At 35.7% G+C, this 13004-nt stretch overlaps 1 protein-coding gene across 2 annotated transcripts in view; it reads left to right on the forward strand.

Annotated features, from left to right (window-relative positions):
* The window catches only part of APOOL (apolipoprotein O like), an 89439-nt gene that overhangs the window by 55830 nt on the left and 20605 nt on the right, over positions 1-13004 (forward strand). For both annotated transcript variants that reach the window (XM_017029272.2, NM_198450.6), the window contains exon 6: positions 7421-7512. In XM_017029272.2, the coding sequence (XP_016884761.1) occupies positions 7421-7512 (92 nt within the window). The remainder of the gene's footprint in view (positions 1-7420; positions 7513-13004) is intronic.

A 13004-nucleotide genomic window follows, 5' to 3' on the forward strand; every position in this document is an offset into this window, starting at 1 on the left:
CCACTTTTTGATGGGGTTGTTTGTTTTTTTCTTGTAAATTTGTTTGAGTTCATTGTAGAGTCTGGATATTAGCCCTTTGTCAGATGAGTAGGTTACAAAATTTTCTCCCATTCTGTAGGTTGCCTGTTCACTTTGATGGTAGTTTCTTTTGCTGTGCAGAAGCTCTTTAGTTTAATTAGATCCCATTTGTCAATTTTGGCTTTTGTTGCCATTGCTTTTGGTGTTTGAGACATGAAGTCCTTGCCCATGCCTATGTCCTGAATGGTATTGCCTAGGTTTTCTTCTAGGGTTTTTATGGTTTTAGGTCTAACATTTAAGTCTTTAATCCATCTTGAATTAATTTTTGTATAAGGTGTAAGAAAGGGATCCAGTTTCAGCTTTCTACATATGACTAGCCAGTTTTCCCAGCACCATTTATTAAATAGGGAATCCTTTCCCCATTGCTTGTTTTTCTCAGGTTTGTCAAAGATCAGATAGTTGTAGATATGTGGCATTATTTCTGAGGGCTCTGTTCTGTTCCATTGATCTATATCTCTGTTTTGGTACCAGTACCATGCTGTTTTGGTTACTGTAGCCTTGTAGTATAGTTTGAAGTCAGGTAGCGTGATGCCTCCAGCTTTGTTCTTTTGGCTTAGGATTGACTTGGCGATGCGGGCTCTTTTTTGGTTCCATATGAACTTTAAAGTAGTTTTTTTCCAATTCTGTGAAGAAAGTCATTGGTAGCTTGATGGGGATGGCATTGAATCTATAAACTACCTTGGGCAGTATGGCCATTTTCATGATATTGACTCTTCCTACCCATGAGCATGGAATGTTCTTCCATTTGTTTGTATCCTCTTTTATTTCATTGAGCAGTGGTTTGTAGTTTTCCTTGAAGAGGTCCTTCACATCCCTTGTAAGTTGGATTCCTAGGTATTTTATTCTCTTTGTAGCAACTGTGAATGGGAGTTCACTCATGATTTGGCTCTCTGTTTGTCTGTTATTGGTGTATAAGAATGCTTGTGATTTTTGTACATTGATTTTTCTATCCTGAGACTTTGCTGAAGTTGCGTATCAGCTTTAGGAGATTTTGGGCTGAGACGATGGGGTTTTCTAGATATACAATCATGTCATCTGTGAACAGGGACAATTTGACTTCCTCTTTTCCTAATTGAATACCCTTTATTTCCTTCTCCTGCCTGATTGCCCTGGCCGGAACTTCCAACACTGTGTTGAACAGGAGTGGTGAGAGGGGGCTTCCCTGTCTTGTGCCAGTTTTCAAAGGGAATGCTTCCAGTTTTTGCCCATTCAGTATGATACTGGCTGTGGGTTTGTCATAGATAGCTCTTATTATTTTGAGATACGTCCCATCAATACCTAATTTATTGAGAGTTTTTAGCATGAAGATTTGTTGAATTTTGTCAAAGGCCTTTTCTGCATCTATTGAGATAATCATGTGGTTTTTGTCTTTGGTTCTGTTTGTATGCCGGATTACATTTATTGATTTGGGTATGTTGAACCAGCCTTGCATCCCAGGGATGAAGCCCACTTGATCATGGTGGGTAAGCATTTTGATGTGCTGCTGGATTTGGTTTGCCAGTATTTTATTGAGGATTTTTGCATCAATGTTCATCAAGGATATTGGTCTAAAATTCTTGTTTTCCATTGTGTCTCTGCCCGGCTTTGGTATCAGGATGATGCTGGCCTCAGAAAATGAGTTAGGGAGGACTCCCTCTTTTTCTATTGATCGGAATAGTTTCAGAAGGAATGGTACCAGCTCCTCTTTGTACCTCTGGTAGAATTCGGCTGTGAATCCATCTGGTCCTGTACTTTTTTTGGTTGGTAGGCTATTGATTATTGCCTCAATTTCAGAGCCTATTATTGGTCTATTCAGAGATTCAGCTTCTTCCTGGTTTAGTCTTGGGAAGATGTATGGGTCGAGGAATTTATCCATTTCTCCTAGATTTTCTAGTTTATTTGCATAGAGGTGTTTATAGTATTCTCTGATGGTAGTTTGTATTTCTGTGGGATTGGTGGTGATATCCCCTTTATCATTTTTTATTGTGTCTATTTGATTCTTCTCTCTTTTCTTCTTTATTAGTCTTGCTAGCGGTCTATCAATTTTGTTGATCTTTTCAAAAAACCAGCTCCCGGATTCATTGATTTTTTGAAGGGTTTTTTGTATCTATTTCCTTCAGTTCTGCTCTGATCTTAGTTATTTCGTGCCTTCTGCTAGCTTTTGAATGTGTTTGCTCTTGCTTTTCTAGTTCTTTTAATTGTGATGTTAAGATGTCAATTTTAGATCTTTCCTGCTTTCTCTTGTGGGCATTTAGTACTATAAATTTCCATCTACACACTGCTTTGAATGTGTCCCAGAGATTCTGGTATGTTGTGTCTTTGTTCTCGTTGGTTTCAAAGAACATCTTTATTTCTGCCTTCATTTCATTATTTACCCAGTAATCATTCAGGAGCAGGTCTTCTTTTGAGAAGTGTTTGTTCATGTCCTTTGCCTATTTTTAAATGGGGTTCTTAGTTTTTTTTCTTATAAATCTGCTTAAATTCCTTGTAGATTCTGGATATTAGACCTTTGTCAGATGGATAGATTGCAAAAATTTTCTCCCATTCTGTACGTTGTCTGTTCACTCTGATGATGGTTCCTTTTGCTATGCAGAAGCTCTTTAGTTTAATTAGATCTCATTTGTCAATTTTTGCTTTTGTTGTGATTGGTTTTGGTGATTTCATGATAAAATCTTTGCCCATGCCTATGTCTGAATGGTATTGCCTATATTTTCTTCTAGGGTTTTTATAGTTTTGGGTTTTACATTTAAGTCATTAATCCATCATGAGTTACTTTTTGTATAAGGTGTAAGGAAGGGATCAAATTTCAGTTTTCCTGCATATGGCTAGCCAGTTTTCCCAGCACCATTTATTAAATAGTGAATCCTTTCCCCATTGCTTGTTTTTGTCAGGTTTGTCAAAGATCAGATGGTTGTAGATGTGCGGTTTTAGTTCTCTATTCTGCTCCATTGGTCTGTGTGCCCGTTTTTGTACCAATACCTTGCTGTTTTGGCTACTGTAGCCTTGTGGTATAGTTTGAAGTCAGGTAGCATGATGGCTCCAACTTTGTTCTTTTTTGCTTAGGGTTGTCCTGGCTATATGAGCTCTTTGTTGGTTCCATGTGAATTTTAAAATAGTTTTTTCTAATTCTGTGAAGAATGTCAATGATAACTGAATGGGAATAGCATTGAATCTTTAAATTCCATTGGGCAACATGGCCATTTTCACGATATTGTTTCTTCCTATCCATGAGCATGGAAAGTTTTTCCATTTGTTTGTGTCTTCTCTGATTTCCTCGAGCAATGGTTTGTAGTTCTCCTTGAAGAAGTCCGTAACTTCCCGTTAGCTGTATTCCTAGGTATTTTATTCTTTTGTGGCAATTGTGAATGGGAGTTCATTTATGATTTGGCTCTCTGCTTGCCTGTTGTTGGTGTATAGAAATGCTAGCAAATTTTGCACTTTGATTTTTGTATCTTGAGGCTTAGCTGAAGTTGCTTATCAGCTTAAGAAGCTTTTGGGCTGAGTTGAGGGGGTTTTCTAGATATAGGGATCATATCATCGGCAAACAAAGACTATTTGACTTCCTCTCTTGCTCTTTCAATACCCTTTATTTTTTTTATCTTGCCTAATTGCCCTGGCAAGAACTTCCAATACTATGTTTAATAAGAGTGGTGAGAGAGGGCATCCTTGTCTTGTGCCAGTTTTCAAGAGGAATGCTTCCAGCCTTTGCCCATTCATTATGATATTGGCTGTGGGTTTGTCATAAATGGCTCTTATTATTTTGAGACATGTTCCTTCGATACCTAGTTTATTGAGAGTTTTTAACATGAAGGGATGTTGAATTTTATCAAAGGCCTTTTCTGCGTCTATTCAGATAATCATGTGGTTTTTGTCTTTAGTTCTTTTTACGTGATGAATTACATTTATTGATTTTGCATATGTTGAACCAGCCTTTCATCCCAGGGATGAAGCCAACTTGATCATGGTGGATAAGATTTTTGATGTGCTTCTGGATTTGGTTTGCCAGTATTTTACTGAGGATTTTTGCATCGATGTTCATCAGGAATATTGGCCTGAAGTTTTCTTTTCTTTTCTTTTTTTGTTGTATCTCTGCCAGGCTTTGGTATCAGGATGATGCTGGCCTCATACAATGAGTTAGGGAGGAGTCACTCCTTTTCAGTTGTTTGGAGTAGTTTCAGAAGAAATGGTACCAGCTCCTCTTTCTATCTCTGGTAGAATTCAGCTGTAAATGCATCTGGTCCTGAGCTTTTTTTGGATAGTAGGCTATTCATTACTGCCTCAATTTCAGAATGTTTTTCTGGCCTATTCAGGGATTCAACTTCTTCCTGGTTCAGTCTTGGGAGGGTGTATGTGTCCAGAAATTTATTCATTTTTAGATTCTATAGTATATTTGCATAGAAGTGTTTATAGTATTCTCTGATGGTGTTTTGTATTTCTATGGGATCAGTCATGGTATCTTCCTTATCATTTCAGATTGTGTTTATTTGAATCTTCTCTCTTTTTTTCTTTATTAGTGTAGCTAGCAGTCTATTTTATTGTTGTTGTTTTTTGTTTTTTTCAAAAAAACAGCTCCTGGATTTTTTTTTTTTTTTTGAGGGGATTTTTGTGCCTTTGTCACCTTCAGCTCTGAAGCTTGGTTATTTCTTGTCTTCTGCTAGGTCTGCGGTTTGTTGGCTCTTGGTTCTCTAGTTATTTTAGTTGTCATGTTAGGATGTCAATGTGAGATCTTTCTAGCTTTTCGATGTGGGCATTTAGTGCTATAAATTTCCCTCTTAACGCCACTTTAGCTGTGTCGCAGAGATTCTGGCATGTTGTCTCTTTGTTCTCATTAGTTTCAAAGAACATCTTGATCTCTGCCTTAATTTCATTATTTACCCAGAAGTCATTCAAGAACAGCTTGTACAATTTCCATGTAGTCATGTGGTTTTGAGTGAATTTCTTAATCTTGAGTTTAATTTGGTTGTGCTGTGGTCTGAGAGACTATTATGATTTCAGTTTTTTTACATTTGCTGAGGAGTGTTTTCCTTCCAATTATGTGATCAATTTTAGAGTAAGTGCCACATGGCACTGAGAAAAATGTATATTCTGGTTTTTTTTGGAGGGGTGGAGAGTTCTATAGATATCTATCAGGTCCACTTGATCTAGAGCTGAGTTCAAGTCTGAGTATCTTTGGTAATTTTCTGTCTTGATGATCTTTCTGATATTGACAGTGGGATATTAAAGTCTCCCACTATTATTATGTGGAGGTGTGTGTCTCTTGGTAGGTCTTTAGTACTTGCTTTATGAATCTGGGTGTTCCTGTATTGAGTACATATATATTTAGGATAGTTAGCTCTTCTTGTTGAATTGAGCCCTTTACCATTATGTAATGACCTTCTTTGTGTTTTTTGACATCTGTTGGTTTAAAGTCTATTTTGTCAGACACTAGGATTGCAACCTCTGTTTTTTTCTGCTTTCCATTTGCTTGGTAAATTTTCCTCCATCCCTTTATTTTGAGCCTATGTGTGTCTTTGCACATGCGATGTGTCTCTTGAATACAGCACACCAATGGGTCTTGTCTTTTTGTCCAGCTTACCATCCTGTGTCTTTAATTAGGGCATTTAGTCCATTTTCATTTAAGGTTAATATTGTTATGTGTGAATTTGATCCTGTCATAATGATGCTGGCTAGTTAATTTGCAGACTTGTTAATGTAGTTGCTTCATAGTGTCATTGGTCTGTGTACTTTGGTGTGTTTTTGTAGTGGCTGGTAATGGTTTTTCCTTTCCATGTTTAGTGCACAGCGCAGGCGTGGTGGTGATGAAATCCCTCAGTATTTGCTTGTCAGGATGCATTTTGTTTAAAAATAGAGGAGAATAGCAAGTATCAGAGTAGTTTGTTCTTGCAGACTGGCCTTTCTTATCAGGTAAAGAGAGGATGACTATAAGTCTTTCTAATCTTTAAAATGACACATAAGGAAAAACTGCCACCTACTATGTTTAGGAGCAGCACAATTAGGGGAATTTGGTTAAGTCAAGGGAACTTACCTCAAGAGATACTAGGATTATAAAATAAGAAATTTAACTGTAGATAATGGAATAATAGCAAGCAGGGCTAGAGTAAAGGAGCAACTTAGGACATTTTAATATACTTAAACCCTCTTTCTGCATACCACAAAAGTCTAAATCTAAAGAAAAGCTAAACTAGTTTGAATCAGCCTGGCCACCCACCACCCGCCACCTCAGTCCATTCTAGACATGACTATAGAAAGCTCTCTTAATAATAGTTAAACCAGACCGAGATAGACCTCTTGTTTTTCCCTTCCCTAAACTGCAAATTTGCCTGCAAACATTCATTTTCATTTGTATAATATACCAGATAGGCTGTTCCCTTTTTAGATTAGGGATTGTATAAGCTGCTTCAGATCATAAAAGTACTTATCCCAATTAAAAAACCCATCATCCAGTTACCTGGATCATATATACAGTATAAGATACTCAGACAAGCGTTTAACTTACATATTATTTTGAACCAACAATCTGTTGGAACTAAGCTATGGCTTAAAGTGGTGGATTTCAAACTATTCTGTAGAACCCTTAGTTTCATGGAAGTGTTTAGTGGTGCTATCAGGATAAAGGAAAAGCCACACAGCTAGGGTTTGATACAGAGCTTCCCACCCCCAAGTTAGAGCAGCATCAAGTTTATAGGTTTTATATATTGAAGTTCCTAGGGAGATTCTATTTGAAAGATATTTTGAAAGGATTTTGTTATCAAAAAAAGATACGAAAATAACTCTTAAATGATGCATAGTTAAGGCACTTATTGATATGCATTACTTATGTCAGGTTACTTGCAATTATTATTCAGTATTCTAAGTCAGTGACATGAAGGAGTTATGTACCTGTTAAAGTCCTTAGTTGATGATTTAGTTGAGTCATTCACCTTTCCAAATACTTAATCAAAAAAGGACATGTAAGAGAGAGTCCATTTCACTTTTACATGGTGTCACACAGTAGTTAACTAATTATCTATATTATCATGCTTTATTAGATACTTGCAAAATTGTGGTTATAAATTTGGGTTTCGTAGGACATGAAAAATACCTAGCTTTCAAGCAGAAGAAAATCATCAATTCCTTTTGTGTAGGTAATTGTGAGTATTAGATTGAGAATACTTTTGTTAAATTGGACATGACAGCTAAGGGGCTATTGGCTTGAGATCCTTAAGGGCATTTTAGCTTCCATCTTGATTGGTATAATTACCTAAAAAGTAATTTAACAGAGGGTGATGGCTTACCAGGAGAGCAAAGAAAGCATTACGGTATAAGAACATCAAGTCTCTGGTGGTATATATTTGGAGTTTAATAATATATTTGCATTTTATAGGTTCCAAGTTTAAGAAAATTACTTATCCTCTGGGACTGGCCACTTTAGGAGCAACTGTTTGCTACCCAGTTCAGTCCGTAATAATTGCTAAGGTAAGTTCTTTTTAAATAATAGCAACATTTCAGTATTTGTTTAAACTCTCAATGTGACAATATTTAAATGTTACACAGCACCTGCAACATTTAATTTTAAGAGACATAGTTGGTATCAACTCTTATGTTGGCCAAATCACATTAGCATCTCAGTATGGTAAATGCCATTGTTAATAAGATGAATTTGTGTAAATATAATTCAACAATGTAAAGGCAGATTTGAGGATTACGTTCAGAGACACTGAATTAGAATTTATGGGGAGAAATACTGCTCCATTGTTGAGATATATAAACTTCAATTTTTATTTAAAAGAAGATTAAAATGCTAGCAGCTGTTTGGTTCAGCAGATTAACCTGACATAAGAAACAACCAGTTGATAGATTGGTTTCAGTGGTTTCTGAAGGTAAAACACACACACACACACACACACACACACACACACACACACGCACAGGAACTCAATATGGAAACCACTTAGAATTAAGAAACACCTGTATAAATGCTTGTTATAGTTCTGTCTTTTTCTTGTGAGCTTAAGTACAAATCCAGATTCTCTTAATGATTTGAACAGTTTTTTTCAGTGTTTTATTTTTAACACATGTTCAGATGGAGAAGGAAAACTTTGGGTTATGCATTTTTTCCCCTCTTTTCCTTCTCCTCTTAATTACCAACAGTTAGCATTTCCCCCTCATGCTTGAAACAATGTGTAGTGTTACCAGAAGGACTTTCTGTACTTGTATTCCCATTACTTCATCCCTTTAACTATTGATATAGAGAAAGTTGCCTATCAATATTTTGAGAATGTCGAGGATATGGTGTACTATGTAGTTTGTAATGTGATCAAACTATAAAAGCTCATAACAAAGGAAGAGAGCATTATTCATTAAGTCTACTTATACCTGAAATAATTGATAACATGGTAAACTTATTTTTAAAACTCTTTCTTAATAATTTACATAGGAATTAACCACTTAAATTAATAAAATGCTAGTATTGAAAGAAACTGTTAAGCTCATTTAATTCAACTTTGATCTTTTCTCATTTATCTATAGGGAAACAGTAGCTCAGAGGAGTTTCACAGTGACTGACTTGCCCAGCATCATACTGACCTTCAGATATTTTGGCCTCCATGTTCATTACTCCTCCCAGTGGATGATGCTTCCACTGATTCTTCTTCTTTTTTTTTTTTTTTCTTTTTTTTTTTGAGATGGGGTCTTTCTCTGTCACCCAGGCTGGAGTGCAATGGCCCAATCTTGGCTCACTGTAGCCTCTGCCTCCTGGGTTCAAGTGATTCTCCTGCCTCAGCCTCCTGAGTAGCTGGGATTACAGGCTCCCACCACCACGTCCAGCTAATTTTTGTATTTTTAGTAGAGATGGGGTTTCACCAGGCTGGCCAGGCTGGTCTCGAACTCCTGACCTCAGGTGATCCATCCGCCTCGGCCTCCCAAAGTGCTGGGATTACAGGCGTGAGCCACCGTGCCCGGCCCTGATTCTTCTTTTTTCTAAGAGTAATGACATCATGGTTGCTTTTAAAAATTATACCTGCTTATCTTTAGATAATCTAAATATTTCAGAAAAGTTTAGGAAAAAAACAACAACCCAAAATGCATCTATCCATACAAATATCCATGTCCACATTTGGATAGAATGTTCTTCTAGACATCTTCACATGCATACACAGAGATAGAAAAACTGATTATGAATAGGCAGATAAGAATGAGATCATAGTATGTGTCTTATTTTTATTTTTTAAAATAAAGTATTAAACTGAATTTTACTTTACAAAAGGAAAAACAAAATAATTGCTGAACTTCAAATAAAAATTTTTCTAATATAAGAGATTAATTTTTAAATGTTCTTCTAGGGTAAATAATAATTGTTACTTTAATTCTTAGAGTTGAAATCCTTGCTTTTCTTTTGACTATAATAATATCAAGTAATATTTTACAAATTCAAATATATGATTTTTTTTTAACCTGAGATCCATGATGGACTTTAGAGAGTCTATAGCACACCCTCCTATCCAAAACTTTATGAAAAGTCACGTATGTACAAGAAAAACCTTCTTATTTGACATAATCAGGACCAGTAGTTAACAATTAATCAAAAATGTTAAAGCAGCGAGTTGTAAAAATATATATAAAAATGTATACCCACAATTTTACTTGAAATTAAAACATAAATGTCTTTCTTCGGCATGACCAATGTGTTGAAACCCCGTCTCTAGTAAAAATACAAAAATTAGCCAGGCCTGGTGGCAGGCGCCTGCAATTCCATCTACTCAGGAGGCTGAGGCACGAGAATCACATGAACCCAGGTGGCGGAGATTGCAGTGAGCCGAGATTGCACCACTGCACTCCAGCCTGGGTGACAGAGTGAGACGCCATCTCTAAAAAAAAAAAAAAAAAAAAAAAAAAATCTTTCCTTTTTCTCTATTTTGAAGTAGGGCTTTTCTTTGAGTATTGGTCTCCTGGTTAAAGATCTATAACATCTTTCCAACAGTAAGCCATATCTGTAGTATGTCTTCTACAATTTCCAGATTAGGTTCTTTTAAAATAGAATGAACAGTTAAAAACATTAAAAAAAATTGAGTGCAGAATCCTTTTAGATGTTTATTTCTCCCAGCTGTTATAATTGTCTTGCTCACCTCTAATTTCATAGCAGTTATTTTTTTAGCCATTCACATTTGAGTCTTTACGAAGCATTTAACTTAATTTTCCTAGAAACAATAATTCTTTTTAAACTCATATTTTATCATATTAAGTTACATTTAGACTGTTTAATTATAAGTAAAACTGATGCAGCAACTTGGGGAAAAAAGGAACTTAATAAGCATACTAATCAACTTGTGAAAGATAGTACCTTAGCATATTGGAGAGCACCTGATAGGGATGAATATTCAACATTCTACAAACATCATTTATAATAAATTAAAAAAACATTTTATTAATCAGTCAAGTCTCCTAAAAGAATGTCAGGTGAGAGCTTTTTAGTGTATCTGTGTTTTTCTGAAGGAAAGGGCCTATAGCTTTTAAGAGCTTCTCCAAGGTATCTGTGATATTAAAAAGTTTAAGAAATGATAAGTCTAGAAGGTCCTTTGAAAAACAAAAGACTCACTCCAGTTACTCATCATTTTGAAAATAGACTTCAAGATGGAATTACTCTTCGCTTTTTATAATTTTCCTCACAATATTTTTATTATTAACTTATGTAAAGAGTAGCAAGTAGTCTGTCTTTGAAAGCTATGAAATATCTAGGAATAGACTTACCAAATAATGTTTTAACGCCTGTTTAAAAGAAAAATAAACTATCAAACTTTACTGAAGGGTATTTTTAAATTTTCACAATATTTAATTGATGAATAAAGATTGAATATATTCAAGGTGTACAACATGATGATTTGACATACATATACATTGTGTAATGATTATTACAATCAAATTAACATATCCATCACCACCCATGCAGCACATTATATACCCAGAACTTGTTCATCTTATGACTGAAAGTTTGTACCCTTTGACCAACATCTCATTTACCTCACTGCTATCCCCTGGCAACCTCCATTCTACTCTCTGCTTCTATTCTGCGTATATGTCCAAAAAAAAAAAAAATGAAATCAGTATCTTGAAGAGATATATGCACCTCCATGTTCATTGCAGCATTATTCACAATAGTCAAGATTAGAAACAACCTAAGTGTCTCTCAGTAGATAAAGGGATAAAGATAATTTGGTACATATATACTACAACAGACTGCTATTTAACCATTAAAAACGGAAATTCTGCCATTTGCAATGGCATGGATAACCCAGAGGACATTATACTCAGTGAAATAAGATAGACACAGAAAGACAAATACTGTTTGATCTCACTTATATGTGAAGGATATTTAACAAAAAATCTTGAATGTCTTTGGGCATATATCCTGTTTCTCGATGAAAGACTAAATGTTGAAATACGGCGAGTATTTCAAAGTCTAGAAATTTAATTCAGTTCTTACAAAAGCTCTGGATTTGAATGGAGTGTGACATTCATTCATCTAGTATTTGTTGTCTGTCTACTGTGTATTGGTTACTATAGTATACACAATAAAATAGATCAAGAGGACAAAAGAGAATATCCAAACAATTATATTGAGTATATTTTTGTACACATGAGGGTAGGGGATTGATACGTGGTACAGGTGGCATTTCAGATCAGTGTGTAATGGAAAGGATGGATTTTTTTTTTCCAAGAAATATGTTGGGATAATTGGCTGTTTGTAGAATTACTCAGACCTTTACCAACTATCATGGGAAAACTAATTCTAGGTGGAATACAGATCTAATCATAAACTAGAATACTATAAAAGGTATGAGAAGAAATAAGAGGAATACCTGTTTAATCTTGAGATAGGAACAGCTTTCTTAAGCAAAATACAATCTAGAAGCCATTAAAGAAAAAGTTGACATATTTGACTACATCAAAATTAATACATTTCTGTAGATTACAATATACCATACACAAAGTTAATGGATACATGAAAAACTTGGAAAACTATTTGTAACATATATGACAAAGTACTAATATCCTTCATGTATTAAGAACTCCTGGCCAGGCGTGGTGGCTCATGCCTGTAATCCCAGCACTTTGGGAAGCCGAGGCAGACGGATCACGAGGTCAGGAGATCGAGACCATCCTGGCTAACACGGTGAAACCCCGTCTCTACTAAAAATACAAAAAATTAGCCGGGCATGGTGGCGTGGGTATGGTGGCGTGCGCCTGTAGTCCCAGCTACTCGGGAAGCTGAGACAGGAGAATGGGCATGAATCTGGGAGGCGGAGCTTGCAGTGAGCTGAGATCACGCCACTGTACTCCAGCCTGGGTGACAGAGAGAGACTCCGTCTCAAAAAAAACAAACAAAAAAAAGAACTCCTATAAATCAATGAGCAAAAGATGAATGTGCCCTCTGGGAAAATGAAAAAAGCAGTCTACAAAATAAGAAACATAAATGGCCTAATATATGTAAGATACTTGATTTCATCAACAAATAAATGCAAATTTGAAAAATCATTTAGATATTGGTTTTTAGCCTTTAAATTTGACAAAGATTTAAAAGACTTATAATATCACTGCTGGTAAATAGGGTAGGAAAACAGACATATACTCTTGGTGGTAGTGTAAATTGCTGCAGTATATTGCTGACTTTCTGGAGAGCAACATGGTAATACTGTCAAAAATTAATATGTGTATACGCTTCAGTGCAGAAATTTCAGCTCTAGGAATTTATCCTGAGGAAATACTATAAGGGTTATGGTCCCAGTTGTATGTATAAGGATGCTAATTTCATCATTGCTTATACTTGCCATCTCCCTACCCCCAAAAAGGAAAACAGCCCATATGCTCACCAACGGGATTTGTTAAATCATCGTGCCTCAATAGGGAATTTGTTAAACAAATTGTGGTGCATACATTATAGAATGCTAAACTAAGCAGCAAATTTAAAAAGT

The sequence above is a fragment of the Homo sapiens genome, chromosome X, assembly GCF_000001405.40.
Source record: "Homo sapiens chromosome X, GRCh38.p14 Primary Assembly".
Taxonomy (NCBI): domain Eukaryota; kingdom Metazoa; phylum Chordata; class Mammalia; order Primates; family Hominidae; genus Homo; species Homo sapiens.